Source organism: Homo sapiens, chromosome 2 (assembly GCF_000001405.40).
Source record: "Homo sapiens chromosome 2, GRCh38.p14 Primary Assembly".
Classification (NCBI taxonomy): domain Eukaryota; kingdom Metazoa; phylum Chordata; class Mammalia; order Primates; family Hominidae; genus Homo; species Homo sapiens.
Window position 1 is genome coordinate 48,343,176 of NC_000002.12, and position 19,833 is coordinate 48,363,008.

General features: G+C 37.2%; 1 protein-coding gene across 26 annotated transcripts in view, besides 2 other annotated features; it reads left to right on the top strand.

The window, feature by feature from the left end:
- The window catches only part of FOXN2 (forkhead box N2), a 65,637-nt gene that overhangs the window by 29,517 nt on the left and 16,287 nt on the right, over positions 1-19,833 (top strand). For 24 of the 26 annotated variants that reach the window (NR_164686.1, XM_047444107.1, XM_047444106.1 and 21 more), the window contains 3 exons: positions 3,026-3,576; positions 15,872-15,972; positions 19,468-19,532. Coding sequence is in view for 24 of the 26 variants with exons in the window: in XM_047444107.1 (XP_047300063.1) it covers positions 3,040-3,576; positions 15,872-15,972; positions 19,468-19,532 (703 nt within the window). In the remaining 2 variants the exon portion in view is untranslated. The remainder of the gene's footprint in view (positions 1-3,025; positions 3,577-15,871; positions 15,973-19,467; positions 19,533-19,833) is intronic. The other 2 variants (NM_001375781.1, NR_164691.1) reach the window with 2 other exon arrangements.
- Positions 1,112-1,171: a silencer, noted in NCBI's record as "silent region_11478". NCBI's record gives its function as "represses an Ori minimal core promoter by ATAC-STARR-seq in GM12878 lymphoblastoid cells {active_cell/tissue: GM12878}" and the evidence as "EXISTENCE:reporter gene assay evidence [ECO:0000049][PMID:35858748]".
- Positions 10,062-10,111: a silencer, noted in NCBI's record as "silent region_11479". NCBI's record gives its function as "represses an Ori minimal core promoter by ATAC-STARR-seq in GM12878 lymphoblastoid cells {active_cell/tissue: GM12878}" and the evidence as "EXISTENCE:reporter gene assay evidence [ECO:0000049][PMID:35858748]".

The following is a 19,833-nucleotide window of genomic DNA, read 5'->3' on the forward strand; positions in this document are numbered from 1 at the left end:
GGCTCCACTTTTTATTAGCTTTAGAACCTTAGGGAAATGGCTTACTTCATTTCCATTTCCTTATTAACAATGAATTTCAGTTTTTTTTATTGTTACCATTTAGGATGTTTCCTACCATTAAGGATTCATTTCCAAAATAAATTAACTCTTCAAGGCAGTTAGTGCACCTTTTTGCAGAATAGACAAATAATTTGTATTATGAGTTCATTTCCATCTGAAATAATTATGATTTGAGTGTCTACTCATACTCAACATTTTGAAAAGATTCATTAGGAATGCAAAAGTAAAAAACTCTTATCCCAGCTAGGCATGGTGGCTCATGCCTGTAATCCCAACACTTTGGGAAGCTGAGGCAGGAGGATTGCTTGAGGCCAATTGTTTGAGACCAGCCTGGGCAACCATAGCAAGACTCTGTTTCTATAAAAAAAATTTAAAAATTAGCTGGGCATGGTGTGTGCCTGTAGTCCCAGCTACTTGGGAGGCTGGGGCAGGAGGATCGCTTGAACCCAGGAGGTGGAGGTTACAGTGAACCATGATATCGCCACTGTACTACAGCCTGGGTGACGGAGTGAGACCCTGTCTCTTTAAAAAAAAAAAAAGACTCTTGCCTCCTCATGGAATTCACAGTTGGAAAGGAAGGGCATTTATTGAACTAAGGAGTAGTTCAGAGTAAGTAGAGATGATGCATTTTAAAGCCTATGACATAGAATCTGTAATGTAGTAAAATCTCAGCAAATGTTAGCCACTGCTGTTTGGTACTTTCTAATTTCTAGATGTAATGGAAGATAGATGGAGATTTAAGTGACAAGGCAAAAGTGAGACATTAGAAATTAATCACTCCCTTCTTTAACTGAACACTGGGTACACTAAAGAGTGGTTTTTTGTTTGTTTTTTAAGGAAGCAAGACATTATTCAATTCTCATTCGTCATGTTTTTAAGTCTCTATGAATAGAGAGACTTTGATAAAATGAATAATTTGGTCACTTACATAGTACAGGATATCAGTTCTGAAATACATTGTGTGCTCATATATGTGAATGTTTATTTATGTGTGGTTTTCATAAGAGATTGAAACAGAAACCAAATCCGTTATCGTTTGATCTTTTCCTTTTTACAGTGTTGTGATGTTTCAAGTTATGGGTGCACAGGAGAGAGATAAGAACTGGATATGGAAAGAATGCTGTTAAGATTTAAAATGAATAGGATTTGAGTCATTGGTGCTCATGGGTGTTGTGTACATACTGTTGCCAGCACATATTGTGGTTAGAGTTTTGTTTCTGGAGTCAGTCTGCCTGGATTTAAATTCTGACAGTTCCACTTACGCTTAACCTCTCTGATTAATTTTCCTCATCAATAAAGTTGAATTAATAATAGTGCCTACCTTATAGGGTTTAATTGACAGTTAATTGAGATATCATATGTAAATTGTTTAGCACAATGCCTGGGCACTAAAGTATTATCTAAGGCTGTTGCTAATGGAGTGCTCTGAGGCTAACTACTTCTGGTGGTAGCTCCCAGAATCCAGATAAACTGTTCTACATCTAAAATTAACTAGTTTTCTCTTTTACATAACTGACATAAAAAGTAGAAATAAAATTAGCCGGTTTTCAGAATTCTTGAAGTAACCTGCCATCTATGTCTTAAGCAAAACAAACTCTGGAGGTACCCCCCCCCCCCAATTATTTCAGTTACACAAGCATAAGTGGGTTGAATAGGATAATAGTCGGTTTTTCACTGAATTTAGAAATGAGTTATCTTTATGAGCCATTGAAAATTAATTAAATAGCACATTAGCCTGTTGCTTTCTTCTCTGGTCTGTTATTGTCTCATGATAAAGTTTTTGAATAGAAGGGTGTTTAAAGTGCAAAACAAAAATAATTTGAGAAAATAGAAATGAAAAAAGAATAGTAACAGCTATTTTTCGCTCTCCTTGAAAGTACAGGGACAGTTCATACCTTACTAAGAGAATGCCAGCCTTGAAATGTCAGTACTTGAGATGATATAGAATGCAGAGTTTAAAAGTACTGGGATTTTAAAAAGAAATGATAACTTATAGTGAATTTAATTTAGCTAATGATAAATTTAGTGAATAAGAAGTGTTATCTTGTTAGACTTACGGAAGTATAGAGTAGAATGGTTGGTAACCAGATATGGGTGGTGGGGGTAGGAGGAGGGTGTAGGGAAGGGGGAGATGTTAGTCAAAGAGTACAAAGTTCTGGTTACACAAGAGGAGTAAGTTCTAGTGACCTATTGCATAGCATGATGACTGTAGTTAATAATAATGTATATTTCAAAATTCCTAAAAGACCATTTAAAATGTTCTCACCACAAAGAGAGATAGGTATATGAGGTGATGGATATATTAATTAGCCTGATCTAATCATTTCACAATATATACATGTATCATAATATCACATTGTACCCCATAAATATATATAATCATTATTTGTCGATTCAAAATAAATAATGAAATAAAAATGTTATCTCTTTTTAGTATGACGTGCTGTAAAAATAGTATACATAGTTTCTTTTTATAGTAAATATTTGAGATTTGAGGAAAGGGTTTATTTTAAAATATTGCTTAAATATTTCAAATTTATTATTTTCAAGATTCAACTATTTGTATATAGTAAAATCATAGATTCTTAAGATACGTATAAAGTCTTATAGTTCAAAGAAATAGCCTGTCCACTTTAAGTAATAATAGCCACTTCCTATTAGGTGATTAGTGTGGGCTAGGTACTTTACTAAGTATTTAAAATACACTATTTAATTGTGTTAATATCACCCATACACCTGGTCCTATAAAGCTGCACTTTATTTACAGCCATTTCAACTAATATAAGTTATTTTCCTTGTATTATAACCATTAGTATCTTCATTATACAAATGTTGTGCTTAAATATTATGTGGGACAATTGATTGCAAAATTTCTCTGATTTGGGGATATTTACATATGTATTTTCTTTTTCCCAGAGTTTAAGAATCTAAAGTATTACATTGATAATTGTTTCCTTTGTTGCAGAACTGTAAGAGTAAATGGGTCCAGTAATTGGAATGACTCCAGATAAGAGAGCTGAAACCCCAGGAGCTGAAAAGATTGCAGGATTAAGCCAGATTTACAAAATGGGAAGCTTGCCTGAAGCTGTTGATGCTGCCAGGCCGAAGGCCACTCTAGTGGACAGTGAGTCAGCAGATGATGAACTCACAAACTTGAACTGGCTTCATGAAAGCACTAATCTTCTAACAAACTTCAGCCTCGGAAGTGAGGGTCTTCCAATTGTTAGTCCATTGTATGACATAGAGGGAGATGATGTGCCATCCTTTGGACCAGCTTGCTACCAGAACCCAGAAAAAAAATCAGCGACTTCAAAGCCCCCATACTCCTTTAGTCTTCTCATTTATATGGCCATTGAGCACTCTCCAAATAAATGTTTGCCTGTCAAAGAAATTTATAGCTGGATTCTGGACCATTTTCCATATTTTGCTACTGCACCAACAGGCTGGAAGAATTCTGTTCGACATAATCTGTCCCTGAATAAATGTTTTCAGAAAGTGGAAAGAAGCCATGGCAAGGTCAGTGTTTATGAACATTGCTATATTTGGTGAGGTGGGGGGACTAATTAACATGGAGCCCTTAAAATATCTGGAAATCGGGGAGACAATAAGTAGTCAAGTCAAATTACTTCAGCTGAACTGAATTATATTCATTTGTTTTCACTTGAGATGTTTTAAAATTTCTTAAATATTGATATAAATTTAGCAGAATTATGTTTTGTCCACTATAGGTACCTAGATTAGTCTTTTTATTATTTTAGTTCTTTGTTTCTAGTTTCTGTAGTGTTCCTATAACTATCAGCATTTGATTCTTTATTCAATATGATAATCTCTGCCTTATAATCAAAGTATAGACCATTTAAATTAATGAAATTGATATGGTTGGGTTTAAATCTATCACCTTGCTATTTATTTGATTTTCTTTTCCACTTTTCCTGCCTTTTGTGGGATGAGGTGTTCTTCACTTTTGGTTTTGGTGTTTTGGTGCTTTTTTTTTTTTTTTTTTTTTTTTGTGAGACAGTCTCGATCTGTCACCCAGCCTGGAGTACAGTGGCGCGATCTCTGCTCACTGCAACCTCCGTCTCCTGGGTTCCAGCGATTCTTAATGCCTCAGCATCCAGAATAGCTGGGACTACAGGTGTGTGCCACCACGCCCTGCTAATTTTCGTATTTTTAATAGAGATGGGGTTTTGCCATGTTGTCCAGACTGGTCTTGGAACTCCTGACCTCAAGTACCACCCACCTTGACCTCCCAAAGTGTTGGGATTACAAGTGTGAGCCACTGTGCCCAGCCGAGGTGTTGTGTGTGTGTGTGTGTGTGTGTGTGTTTTATGCTTCAATTTTATCTCTACTATTGCCTGATTATTTATGTATTTTAGTGGTTGCTATATGGTTTTCAGTATACATCTTTAATTTATCATTGGTCCACCTTCAAATAATATTATACCATTTCACGTAACTGGCTCTTTACAGAAAAAGTTGCTTGGCACCTGATGCCCTATTGGATTAATTCCTTTTGCCTGGAGAAGTTTATTTAAAATTTCTCATTATTCAGTTTTGCTGGCAATGGTTATTTTAAACTTTTTTGTGGGGTGCAGGTTTAGAATTCTAGGTTGACATTTTTTTCTTCTATGTATTTTAAAGATGATTTATTGTCTTCTGGCTCCCATAGTTTCTGGTGAGAAGTCTGCTGTCATTATTCCTCTTTATGTAATGTCTCTTTTTTTAATTGCTGTCTTCAGTATTTTTTCTTTCTCTCTTTATCACTGTTTTTCAGCAGTTTGACTATAGAGGGCCTAGATGTGTTATTCTTTATTTTTATCTTGCTTTGGGTTCTCAGTGGTTCTTAAATATATGGTTTATTGCCTTTCATTAAATTTAGGAAATTTTTGCTCATTATCTCTTCAAATATTTCTTCTGCCTCACTCCTACTTTTAGGACTCCAAGTAAAAATATATTAGACCATTTGCTATTTGTCTTACCTCTTGATTGCTTTGCCTTTCCTCCACTCTTTCTCTCTTAGTTTGGATAATTTTTATTGATTTTTCTATAGGTTCACCGTTTTTCTTTGTTGTGTTCATTCTGCTGATAAGCCCCAATGAAGGACTTCTTCATGTTTTTAATTTCTAATGTTTTCATTTTCCTTTTAAAAAAGTTTCTGTCTCTGCTAAAATTCCCCACTAGATCCATAAACATATTAATTATAGTTATTATATAATGTCTGTCAGTTTCAATATCTGGTCCATCTCTGGATCTGGTTTTGCTGACTGTTTTAATCTCTTGTTTTTGTATGTATTTTATAATTTTGGATTGAATATCAGACATTGCAAAAGAATGGCAGGGACGGAAGTATGTAATATTTCTACCCAGAAATAGGCATGCCTCTACTCTGTTAGGCTGTTAGTGTGAACAGGTATTGGTCAGTCTAGTTAGTAATTGAGAAGAGTTTTGAGTGTTTGTGGTTGCAGTAATTACCATCAGTACACCACACTCTTCAGACTCCTACAGAGATGGACTGCCAATACTTTGTGTTTAAAGTGAGGCCTGGAGCAATAGATGACTTTTTTGTCTCAGCATTACTGCTACAACTTCATCTTCTAGCTTGTGCCACATTTGAGGTTGGGAGAGAGGTAAGATAGCTCTCTCTGTTGCCCTTCCTACAGCACTAGATTGCTATTGCTTGTTACTTGGAGCAAGGCTTTTGGATGGGGCAGAGTAGGATCCTTGATTCTTCTCCAGCATTAGTCTTAAACAGGTTCTGCATGCCTGTGCTTCAGGTGTGAGTCTTTCTGTGCCTCCCCCAGGAGCAGACAGTCTCTCCATCTACTCAATATAGAGTCTAGAGCTGCATTTTTCAGTAGCAAAATGTACTCTTTAATGCCAGGAACCATCTCACCACTGCATTCCAGCCTGGGAGATAGAGGGAGACTCTGTCTCACAAAACAAAACGAAAAACATTGGATTCAACTTTGGCTGAGTGCAGTGGCTCACACCTGTAATCCCAGCACTTTGGGAGGCTGAGACAGGTGGATCGCTTGAGCCCAGGAGTTAGAGACCAGCCTGGGCAACATGGCAAAACCCTGTCTCTACTAAAATTAGAAAAAATTAGCTGGGCGTGGTGGTACATGTAGTCCCAGCTACTCAGGAAATGGAGGTAGGAGGATTGTTTGAACCCTCGGAGGTTGCAGTGGGCCGAGATTGTGCCAGTGCACTCCAGTCTGGATGACAAAGTGAGACCCTGTCTCAAAATAAAAAAATAAGCTGGACGTGGTGGCTCATACCTGTAATCCCAGCCCTTTGGGAAGCTCAGGTTGGCGGTTCACCTGAGGTTGGGAGTTCAAGACCAGCCTGACCAACATGGAGAAGCCCTGTCTCTACGAAAAATACAACAAATTAGCCAGACATGGTGGCATATGCCTGTAATCCCAGCTACTCGGGAGGCTGAAGCAGGAGAATTGCTTGAACCTGTGGTGAGCCTAGATCGTGCCATTGCACTCCAACCTGGGCAACAAGAGTGAAACTCCGTCTCAAAAAATAAATAAATAAAATGTGACAGGGTCCATCCTGTGACGTGAGATGTAACATATGAACTCTTACCTTTGACAGAGCACAGAAATGGCAGTCGTAAAAGAATGTAAGAAAAAGAAGCCACCCAAATTTTAAATCAAATTATTAAAGACCAAATGTGAGCTAGCATGACAGCTTAGAATCCCTGACATTCCCAGAAGAAGAAGAGTCTGCATCCACTAGCTAGGTCTTTTTCCACTGGCCTCCATCTGGTGCTCCAGAGGAAGACTGCAGGCAGGCCAGGAAGCCTAAGAGAAACCCTTATGAATGAAGACAGATGTACAGAATCTGCCAAGATTTAGGCAAAGATAGACCTAGAGCTGCATTCTTCAGTTGCCATTTATCCACATGTGGCTAGTGGTTGGCATATTGAACAGCTATAGGATATTTCTGTCATCATAAACAGTCCTTTTAGACAGTGCTGTTTTAGAGTTCAAGCCAGTTTTCTGCTCATTCCCATTATGGTGGAGAAACTCAGCCTAGTCTTAGTGGGAGGTCTTGGACAAAAGTGAGTGACCACTCCCTTTCCCAGTGGCAGCAGTTCTCTGTATCATCAGCAGATTTGAGCATGAGCAGATTTTCTGCCTTTCTTCTAGTGGCACATGGCACATTGCCTTGTTAAATATGGGGATAGCTAGGTTTTATACTTCTCTTTTAGCAACAGCCATCCTTTGCCTGGGACTAGAGTGGGCAAAGTATTTTGCCTCTTCCTCAGTGGCAGACAGCTTTTGCTTTGTTTTAGAGAAGAGTCCAGGATATAGGCAGGTTTGTGTCTGTCCTACACCACTATCTGATCTTCACCTTTTGCTTGTTCAGGGTCTAGAACATGGATGATCTTTGCCTAAACCTTGGCAGATTCTGTACATCTGTCTTCATTCATAAGGGTTTCTCTCTCAGGCTTCCTGGCCTGCCTGCAGTCTTCCTCTGGAGCACCAGATGGAGGCCAGTGGAAAAAGACCTAGCCTAGTGGAGGCAGACTCTTCTTCTGGGAATGTCAGGGATTCTAAGCTGTCATGCTAGCTAACATTTGGTCTTTAATAAATGTTTTAAAATTTGGGTGTTGTTTTTTTCTTACATTCTTTTACGACTGCCATCTCTGTGCTCTGCCAAAAGTAAGAGTTCATATGTTACATCTCACCTCACAGGATGGACTCTGTTACAATTTATTTTATTTTTTTTATTTTGAGATAGGGTCTCACTTTGTCATCCAGGCTGGAGTGCAGTGGCTCAATCTCGGCCCACTGCAACCTCCGAGGGTTCAAGCAATCCTGTTACCTCCGTTTCCTGAGTAGCTGGGACTGTAGGCATGTACCACCACACCCAGCTAATTTTTTCTAATTTTAGTAGAGACAGGGTTTTGCCATGCTGCCCAGGCTGGTCTCTAACTCCTGGGCTCAAGCGATCCACCTGTCTCAGCCTCCCAAAGTGCTGGGATTACAGGTGTGAGCCACTGCACTCGGCCAAAGTTGAATCCAATGTTTTTCGTTTTGTTTTGTGAGACAGAGTCTCCCTCTATCGCCCAGGCTGGAGTGCAGTGGTGAGATGGTTCCTGGCGTGAAGGAGTTTAAGTTTTAAAAAGTAAGAAGGCAAACAGTTAATCATAATACGATATAGAAAGAAATATCATAATAGCAACATGAACAGAGTCAGAGAGAAGTTGATTAATTATTACCTAGCACAGTGGTCCCCAAACTTTTGACGCTAGGGACTGGTTTTGTGGAAGACAGTTTTTCTGCTACCTGAGGTGGGGACATGGGATATGGTTTTGGGATGAAACTGTTCCACCTCAGATCATCAGGCATTAGATTCTCATAAGGAGCGCACAGCCTAGATCCCCTCACATGCACAGTTCACAATAGGGTTTGAGCTCCTGTGAGAATCTAATGCATGGGCTGATCGGACAGGAGGCAGAGCTCAGGTGGTAATGCTTCTCAACTTCCACTCTCCTCCTGCTCTGTGACCTGTTTCCTAAGAGGCCATGGACCTGTACCGGTCTCCAGCTTGGGGGTTGGGGACCCCTAAACTAAAAGATTTGGGAAATTTTTATGGAAAAGTTTGCCATTGAAGTGTGCTTTGAAAAAAGAGAACAGGTTTTAGAAGGGTAACATATGCCAAAGGGCAATAGTATATTCTGCTGGGAGTTTGGGGCAGTAGGCATATTCTCTGTTGGTGAGGAATGTACGAGAGCAGGGTGGAAAAGCAGAGTGATCCAGAATAGAAGTGTGATGAATATCATGCTTGGACTTCAGTTTTGGGCTTCAGTTGTTTGGACTTCAGTTTTGAGAGCAAACCAGTGAGAGTTTTTAAGCCAGGAGCATGATGGAGTTTCTCTGTATTTGACTTGTGACAGTGTGAATGATAGGGCAATATATTACCTTAAACAATATCTGAATTCATTTGCCAAAGGAATGTTACAGTTAGTAGTACCATGCAAACAGAGATAGTTTCAGTGAAGATGTGGGATTTGAACACTTTGTAATCATTGCCCTCCTTATGTCTAAATCCACTGACTTCTTTTCTGTCTTACTCAACCTAAAACTGCATTATATGACATGATTAGCTCTGGGAATTCATCTTTTCTTTGATTTGTATAACACTGTGCTTAATTCTTTGTTTACCTGTGTGGACTCTCCATCTTTTTCTTTTGCCACTTGCCATTTAAACTTTAGTGTTCACTATTTTGTCTTTTTTGTTGATTTAGTATTTTCTTAATCTCATTAATTCCCATGGCTTAATATGTCGTCTGTGATCTTATGACTTCTAGATCTTTCTCCTAAAGCCCAGACGTAAATTTGCAACTAATTATTAGATCTGGAGGTATCTCAAATTCAGTGTGTCCGAAATTGGACTTTATTCCTCTCTCTTCTCCAAGGATCTATTTGGGTCTCAGCTAGAAATCTGAGTCATCTTGGGTACCTGCTCTTTGCAATGCCTAAGTTATTTGAATGTCAAATTTGAAAGGAATATAGACATTATCCTGATGAACTTCCTTATTTTATAACCAAAAAAGTGAGATACGTGGTATTAATTGATCCTGGTCTAGAAAGCCTGTCAAAGCCAGGGGTTAGATTCAAGAAAAAGCAGTATCTAGTAGCACCTATAAATACCTACAAGTTGCTTTTTGATTCTGGCCATTTCTTTTAGTTTCTACCATAACATTGGCCTTAGTTCAGGTCTTCCCCTCATTTCTCATCAAATTGAACTATTATATAAGTTGAGGAGTCAGCATGAAGGATTGGATTCAGGTATGTTCCTAGATCCAGATAGATGTGTGACTTGGTAAAGTTAGACTCTCTGAGCCTCATTTTTACTTCAGTTTTTGTAACTAGTAACCTTTAGTAAATATGACTTACTAAATAAAAGCCAAACTTGTTAACATGGTTTTCAAGACCCTCCCCAGTTTGGCTTCTGCCTGTCTTTGCAGTTTTTTTTCTTCACTACTCCATGATCTACCCCCACAAGACTACTTGCTATTCCAGTATACTATAAATAGTCCTTGTTTATTTTGTTCCTCTATCTACACTGCATTTTCGTAATTCACTTTCAGTGGAGAGAACATTTCCTCAAAGCCCAGCTCAGAAGTCACCTCTCAAGCATTTCCTGCTTTTTTGTACTCATTTTGTGTTTTTATAGCATTCTGTTTGTTACCTTTATAACATACATATCCCAGTTATGTATAGATTTGCTTCTCCCACTAGGGAAGATATGAGAGCTCTCTGAGGTCAAGGCCTTAGTAGAATAGTCACTTAAGACTGTGTGTGTGTGTGTGTGTGTGTGTGTGTGTGTGTGTGTGTGTGTGTGTGTGTGAAAGAGAAAGGGGGGAGTGATATTATTCAATAACCTTTTAAAAGCTCAGCATCTTTTTTCATCTTAATGCATAATTCTCTTTAATTGTGATGTGGATGAACATTTGGGTTTCTAATTTTTTGTTATAAACACTGCTACAGTGAAAATCATCTCCCTATCCTTCCTTCTCTTTGCCTTCTTTGAAATTGATCTCCCTTTATTCTTTTTCCTCTGTTGTGTTGGTATTGTTATCCTCTGTCTTTTTTTTTTAAACACTGTACATATTTCATAATTATTTTATGTAGTCTCCGTTTAAATTTACCCTTATAGTTAACAGTGTCATTGTTTGCTATTGTTTATGCATTTAGAATTTCCTTAGTGATTTTATTCTTGAATTGTGTCACTTAATTCTTTTATACTTTTAGAACTATTGTGTTTATACTTATGATGGTACATAAAAGGTAACCATCTACTAGGTACTTAGAAATATAGGCAGGAATAGAGGTGATGTGGTGAGATTACAGCTCTTAAGTTTGGAATTTATCAGCATTGCTTCTGAGTGGAATAATCTAGGAAAAGTATGGTGTAATGAAGCCAAGGAAGCTAAGCTGAAGTGTGAATGGCCAACAGTGTCAAATGTTGCAGAACACTTGAAAATGATTGGCTAAGAAGAAGTTGTTGAGAAAGTAGCAGCCAAAAGATTAGGATTCAAAATATATAATAAGTGCTGTGCTGGCTGGGCGCGGTGGCTCACACCTGTAATCCCAGCACTTTTGGAGGCTGAGGTGGGCGGATCACGAGGTCAAGAGGTCAAGTCCAGCCTGGCCAACAGAGTGAAACCCCATCTCTACTAAAAATACAAAAATTAGCTGGGTGTGGTGGCGTGTGCCTGTAATCCCAGCTACTTGGGAGGCTGAGGCAGGAGAATCACTTGAACCCAGGAGGCAGAGGTTGCAGTGAGCCGAGACTGTGCCACTGCACTCCAGCCTGGCAACAGAGCGAGACTTCGTCTCAAAAACAAAAAAAAGTGCTGTGCTGATAAATGTTTAACAACTGGCTAGGGACAGGCTGTTTAGCTTTTGCTAAATGTGGAGTTGAGAAGCAATGTTTACTATCAACAGTATACCATTATAGAAGAAACTCATATAATTTAATAAGAAAATGAAAATCTAATAGAAAAATGGGCAAGTATATGAATAGGCAGTTCACAGAGGAGGAAACACAAATAGGCAATAAACATAAACAAAGATGTTTATCTTACTAGTAATGTGTGTGAGGGACATTCAAATTAAAAGAACAAAAAATGCTTTTTTATCTATTAGAATTCAAAAATTTTAAATATTTGAGGACATGAGTAAATATTGATACTTTCACATCATTGATAGGAGTACATTAATATGACCATTCTTGAGGGCAGTAGTTACTAGAATTAGAAATGGGCTCTTCTTTGATCTAGCAGATCATATTCTGATTTCTCCCCTAGAGTAACATTCATAGTTGCATACAAGAAGATGTATGTGAAAATATTCACAGTGGTATTATTTTTAGTAAAAGTTACAAAACCATATGTCCAATAGTATGATTTGTGATAATACTCAAAAGGGAGTTGGTCACATCTATAATTTTTAAATGTATACATTTTTAATGTAATTAATCTGAGTGTTTTGAATGTTCAGAGAAAGGAAGAAATTAAGGAAGTGAGAGCTAGAGAATGGGAAAGGATGCAGTCCAGAGTATAGGTAGAATTTGATAACGAAAAGGAGAGAAATCATCTTACAATTTTAAAAAAGGGATAAATATAGAAATGGTAATATATTGGCATAAAAATTAGCAAGCTATCACCACGAGTCAGGGTGGGAGGGAAGGAACTTGTAAATCGTCTCATAAAAATCAGTTAACTATTTTGCCTAAATGTCTGAGATTTAGACAGAAAGAGATACATTCAAGTAGATTTGGGAATGCATGTGGATTTTTTTTTTTTAATTTATGAAATGTTTCTTGGGTCAGTGACAGAATGACAGTATTTTTCTTCCAATCTGTGGAAGCCAAATATACTTAGTTGCACTAAATGTTAGCATTGCATTTGGCAACCTTGACAGCACTTTTCTGATGAATGGCGGTTATCTAGAGATGATAATCCCAATAGGAGGCAGAATGGCAAGGTCTAGATCAAACTATGAAGGGATAATGATAGCCAGCTGATACAGCTGCTGATTAAGATGTTTTTCTCCCTATCATCATACCATTTTTACTACTCTGAAAAGACAGGTCTAACAATCCTGGTTTGGTATTTATTTGTCTCTGGATTTTAAATTTGTTAAAATTATATATGGTTGTCTTTTGGTTCAGCTTGCTTTGGTTTGGGCTTTATGTTTTAAATGTTAACATCTGGCTGGGCACAGTGGCACTTACACCTGTAATTCCAGCACTCTGGTAGGTTGAGACACGACAATCACTTGAACCCGGAGGCAGAGGTTGCAGTGAGCCAAGATCGTGCCACTGCATTCCATCCTGGATGACAGAGCAAGACTCTGTCTCCAATTTAAAAAATAAATAAAAATAAAAATAAAAATTGGCCAGGCGTGGTGGCTCACGCCTGTAATCCCAACACTTTGGGAGCCGAGGCAGGTGGATCACTTGAGGTCAGGAGTTCGAGATCAGGCTGGCCAACATGGTGGAACCCTGTCTCTACTAAAAATACAAAAATTAGCCGGGCATGGTGGTGCACACCTGTAATCCCAGCTACTTGGGAGGCTGAGGCAAGGGAATCGTCCGAACCTGGGAGGCGGAGGTTGCAGTGAGCCGAGATCGCGCCACTGCACTCCAGCCTGATTGACACAGCGAGACTGTCTCAAAAAAAAAAAAGTTAATATCCAAGTCTTGTATGTACTTTTCTAAATTTTTATAAAGCCCATCTTAAACATTATTACTATGAGACTTTAGCTGGGAAACATGGAATTAAATTTTTTCCTAGTGTGGTAAAATTTTAATCAGTTAATTATTTTTAATTCAGAGGTTCTAAAAGCCACTGAAAATCATTACCACTTTATAGTTTTATCTAGGCCTTGCCATTTTGCCTTCTTTTTGGTAGTAGACAAGGTGAGCAACTCTATTAAAATATACAGGACAAGTTCATAAAAACATTTTAGGAATAATGAACGTTGCCTTTTCTCCCAATCTAGTCTTTACCACTTCTGTTAAGACAATTCTTTTTAAAGTTCACCTTTTAGTATATTCAAAATTTCTTCAAAACCTTTAGCAGTTCTCTACCAAGTAAGTTCAGAAGCCTTAGAGTTCTAAAACGCAAAATAATAAAATGAGAGAATGCTCATTTCCTGTTTCCGTAGCACAGAAGGCTATTTTGTTATAGGCAAATTTAGTTTTAAACAGTTATTATTTGTATTCTCTCATCTAAGCCCAATAATATAGGACCAAAGCTTTTAAGTGGAAAATTAGTTACAAATAAGTTTCTTTTTGCTGTAGACTTTAAAATGTAGATTAGCAAATACAGAGTTTTATCTCTTGTTCATGATAGTTCATGAACAGACCCAGTGAAAGGAAGTGCTGCCATGGTAACGTAAACCAGACTGTTACTTGAGACCATACTCAAGATACTTAACTGCCCTGAAACTGCACGTTTTCAATACCAGTTTTTCCAATTTGCTATTTCAAGGAAATAGCAACTCTACTGTGATCAAAACAATTTGCAGTCCCCTCACAATAGAATTTGAAAAGTAGACTTGAACTAAACAATTTCTAGGAGCGTAATCTCAGGAATTCCAAGGTAGAGCATGGCTAGCATTATTAAAATAATTGTCTTGGTCTGTGTATGAAAAGTAATGCTGCGTATCTTTTCTATATGAAACTGAATTGGCTTTGGGGCAAAAGATGTTGTAGGTGCTAACATTTTAATTCTTCCTTTTTTTTTTTTTGAGACAGCGTTTCACTCTGTCACCCAGGCTGGCCTCAGCCTCCTGAATAGCTGAGACTATAGGCGCGCACCACCACACCAGGCTAATTTTTTCTATTTTTGTAGAGACAGAGTTTTGCTATGTTGCTTAAGCTGCTCTTGAACTCCTGAGCACAAGCAATCACCTTCGCCGGCTTCCCAAAGTGCTAGGATTACAGACGTGAGCCACCGCACCTGGCCTGGTGCTAACATTTTTTTCCTTGTCATCAAAACACATTTATCATTTGGTCCAGGTGACTGAACATATAGCTAAGTTAAGAAGTTTCATTTAATCCAAAAATACATTTGTAAAACTTGTCTTTTATTGAAAAAAAAAAAAAAAAAAAGAAAATGTCAAATACTTTTTTAGTATAGTTAATGTGATATCTTGCTGCTAAACACCAGGAAAATGTTTCTCCTGATAATCCAGTGCATTTCTTTCTTTATGATAGTGTGATATGACAACCATGGTTTTTCTATTTATATAAATTGCCAGCATAGTAAAAAACTGCCTTACACTCAATTGCTACACCTTTTCACAGGCAAAAGGTTTTATTCTCTCCTAAATTAATTTTATCCCGTTTTTTTTTACCACCTAACTTTTGCCTTTTATTCAGAACTAATGTATTTTTTTCTTATTGTCGTTTTTTTTTCAAAATTCCCTCCTCGGTGGAAAGTAAAGGAGTAGGAACATACTATTATTCAACCAACATGCAGCAACCCTTACGTACGTCAGTTTCAGAATGGCCCCTTAATATTCACCTATTTTGCAGCTATGTCTCTTGCATATAAATCCTCTTATTTGAATCTCATTACAATTCAGTGAAGTGGCCTGCATTGTTGTTTTACTTTACGGGTAAAATGTAAATGAGAAGTCTGACTCTCAAAAATTAAATGATTTGCCCAATATCACATAGCCAGTCAATAAGTAGTGATCGGGACCTTGGTTTTTGAACCTATAGAACGGTGTTCTTTCATTTTGCCATTCTGCTATAAAAATTATGAAATGATATTCAGAGATAAAAGAGCGTCAATAATAGACTAGTAGTACCTTGAAAAAGAGTGTGGGAAATGGAAGGACTCTGGAGATCATCACATTAAATCTTAATAGCAATCATAATAGCTTATATCATAGAAGATTTGATACACGCAAAAAGGAGTATGAGAATGGGAAACAAGTAAATTTTGTTGTTATCTAAATAATTGTTAATGTAGTCGTAAAGGTAATTCAAATTTTAAGAAAGAGTTTTTGAAGTAGAAAAGGCATAATATAAAACCAGAAGCTAATAACATTTGAACCTCACTAATCTTGTGAATTAGAGGAAGTTTTGTACATCATAGGATGAATCCCTTTTAGTCACTACAGTGCACACATAGCAAGCTCACTTCAACCTTAGTTTCATACTCAAAAGGTGCTAGAGATTATTTACCCCTGCACATTTATTTAAAACATTTAGACGCTGACTGTTTATGTATAAAAGTTCCTAGTTATTCTTGTGCATTTTATTCTAGGTTAATGGAAAAGGTTCCTTATGGTGTGTTGATCCGGAATATAAACCCAATCTTATCCAGGCACTGAAGAAGCAACCTTTTTCTTCAGCATCTTCACAAAAGTAAGGATCTTCCATATAACTGTCAGTGGTGATTTATAGGATTTCACTGTGTGAGATGGAGAAACTTAAAGGTCCAGGGTATTATGTTTCTGTTTTATTGTATAAAGAAGTATTTATGTTTTATTTAGTTTTTAGTTTTTAGTTTTTGTTTTTGTTTTGTTTTGTGGACACAGTCTTACTCTGTCACCTAGGCTGGAGTGCAGTAGCGAGATCTCGGCTCACTGCAACCTCCCTCTCCTGGGTTCAGGTGATCCTCCCACCTCGGCCTCCCTAGTAGCTAGGACTACAGGCAAGCACCACCACTCCCAGCTAATCTTTGTCTTTTTAGTAGAGACACGGTTTCACCATGTTGGCCTGGGTGGTCTCTAACTCCTGACTTCAAGTGATCCTCCCACCTCTGCCTCCCAAAGTGCTGGGATTACAGGCGTGAGCCACCATCCTCGGCCTGTTTTTTCTTTTCTTTTCTTTTCTTTTCTTTTTTTAAGAAGTATTTATGGATAAGACATTAGCCTAAGTTAGTTTTCCTTATGGTCTAATTTGTGTTTCTAGAATACAGGAAATTGGTGACTTGAGAACATACACTCTGGGAAATATAGTCAATACTGAGTATAAGTAAACCCTAAAGAAAGTTGTAATATAATTTCAGTTACAAACAGGTCAGATCATTTTAATTGTCTGCAATACTAATGCTAACCTAAAAATGAAGGAAATTAAAAATACATTTAAAATTTTTTAACAAGATTATTAAGTTTGTCATTATAACATTTTATATACATATGTAGGTTTCTTTTTCTGTTTTAGGTTTTTTTCGTAGTACTTAATATTTGAAAAGTATGTTCAAGTCTAAAATTTTTAAATGTTTGGCAAATAAAATAATGCTTTGAACTTTGTTTTTATTTTTTCTGGTAAATATAGTTGTACTGTATTTGCTTATAATTTTCCTTGTCTTTGTTTTCAATCCCAGTAACCCCTGTTGATCTTCTAGCTTCCTCATTTTAAGTTAAATCGGAAAATAATATGACCTTCTTAAATCTGATTTTTGTTTCCTTTTTCTAAAGAAGACTTTAGAGTCTTCTCCAATTTATTATATACCTTCATTTGAATTGAAAATCCCAGATTTGGTTAAAATACTTTAAGGGTAGTTTATAATGGCTAACTTGTTTTTTGAAAAATTTAAAAAGATTTTTAATAAAGTAATAAATGGAAATTTTTAAACATGGAAAAAAGTAGAGAGAAAGTTATAATGAACTCCCAGCTGCAGCAATCATCAACGTTTCATATAGTGGTTAATTTGAATTCTTAAAGTATTGTTAGATAACTTGTAGAGGAGTGGTTGTAGCTGGAATACAGTAAATAGCTGGGAAGGCTAAAGTTGAAATATCAGTAATATATTCACTCACTGAGATTTTAAGCTTCTTTACCATATTATAGATTAGATGGATCATTATAAAAAGAATAACTGAGTGGTTTATCTTTATGAAATGAAACCTAGAAAAGAAGTTACCAGATTTTATATTCTTACTTGGAAATTGATATCTTTATTAATTAATTTTGGTTATTATGAGGCATTTTAAATAATAATTTAGAAACTAATGGTGAGTTCTACTGATGTTCACCTATGTGTTTTACTTAGCTGTGTTGGGTTTTTTTTTTTTTTTGCTGAAGATTAAGCCTGGACAACATGGAGAAACCCTGTCTCTACCAAAAATACAAAAATTAGCTGGGCATGGGTAGTGCACGCCTGTGGTCCCAGCTACTCAGGAGGGTGAGGTGGGAGGATCGTTTGAGCCTGGGAGGCAGATGTTGCAATGAGCCAAGATGGTGCTACTGCACTCCAGCCTGGGTGACAGACTGAGACCCCATCTCAAAAAAAAAAAAAAGATTATATGAAAGAATTGGCACCATTTTTTGTAAACCATCACAAATATATTTTGCTGTCTTTGATATATTGTATTTTCATGTTTCTATCTTTTAGCCTTAATCATAAGTTTAAATGTTAAAAGTGATCTTGTGGCTTTAAAAGAAGATAAAAACTATGGTCAGGTGAGGTGGCTCAAGCTTGTAATCCCAGCACTTTGGTAGGCCGAGGCCAGTGGATCACCTGAGGTCGGGAGTTTGAGACTAGCCTGGCCAACATGTTGAAACCCGTCTCTACCAAAAATACAAAAGTCAGCTGGGTGTGGTGGCACGCGCCTGTAACCCCAGCTACTCGGGAGGCTGAGGCAAGAGAATCATCTTGAACCCAGGAGGCAGAGGTTGCAGTGAGCCGAGATTGCGCCACTGCTCTCCAGCCTGGGCGACAGAGCGAGACTGTGTCTCAAAAAAAAAAAAAAAAGATTAAACTACAACATAAGGGTTATATATAACCTTTTGACTTTAAACCCTTAATATAAAATGAAACATTTTGCCCTTTATGTTGTTTGGCAAAATAACAGTTCCATCTGACATGCTTTTGTGTAGCCCTTGCATATAAGAATTTGTAAGTCTGAGGAAAAGAGTGAGATACAGTATATGTAAAACTATGAATAGGAAATAAACTTTTAAGTTCGTTAACAAATAGATTTTTTTTTCATGCTATCATAAATTCCAAAGAAGAGAAGTAGTTTTTCCCAAAAATATTTTAATTCCTGGATTAAAAAAAGAACTGTTGGTGTCTTTCCATGAATATAGAAAGTTTAATTTTATGTTTATTAATAAAATCAGGAACATACCTGTTTGCTATCACTACCAAGTGTTCCTTAACCATGAATTTTGGTAAATGCTTTTATTTTTGTGGTAATACCTATATTAGTATTATATCAAACTTAAGAATCCAATGCAAAACCAAACAGTAACTATCATGTATTATCTATAGTTCCAGGCATTTTAAATGCATTATTATTATTTAATTATCACAACAGCCTATGTGGGAGATTTAATTATTCCTATTTTACAGATGAAGAAGCTAAGAGATTAATTATTTTGCCTAAGAACATCCAAATAGTTGTGATTTACCTCTTTTGGCTCCTATGCTCTTTCTGCTTTGGCAGACTTTCTAAATTGAGTAGTATTAGCAAAGAAAACAAGGTAAAAATAGTTTGTTTTTGGTGGTACAAATTAGCTGTATTTGTGACTAAGTTCTATAAAAAGTGAAATAGTTGGGTGCAAGTGGCTCACGCCTGTAATTCCAGCACTGTAGGAGGCCAAGGCAGGTAGACTGCTTGAGCCCAGGAGTTTGAGACTAGCTTGTACAACATGGTAAAACCCTTTCTCTACCAAAAAAAATTAAAAAATTAGCCACACATGGTAGTGCATGCTTGTGGTCCCAGCCACTCAGGCAGCTAAGGTGGGAGGATCACCTGAGCTCAGAAAGTCAAGGCTGCAGTAGGCTGAAATCATGCCACTGCACTCCAGCCTGGGCGGCCAGCAGAGTGAGAGAGAACCTGTCAAAAATTAGGGGGAAAAAGTGAAGTAAACATTTTTATAAGCATATTTGCTTTTCTGTTTGTTTTTCAGTGGTTCTTTATCACCTCACTATTTAAGCTCTGTAATCAAGCAGAACCAGGTGCGAAACCTCAAAGGTATGTGTGAATATCAGTACAGTCATGCACCACACAACAATCTTTTGGTCAACAACAGGCAGTGCATAACAATGGTGGTCCCCTAAGATTATAATGGAGCTGAAAAATTTCTATTGCCTGGTGCCCTGGTAGCTTGTTGTAACATTGTGGCACAACGCATTTACTGAAGTTTGTGGTGATGCTGGTGCAAGCGGACTCACTGCACTGCTAGTCCTGTAAAAGTATAGCACGTAGTTATGTACATATGTTAATACTTGATAATGGTAATAAACTATGTCACTAGTTTATGTATTTACTATAC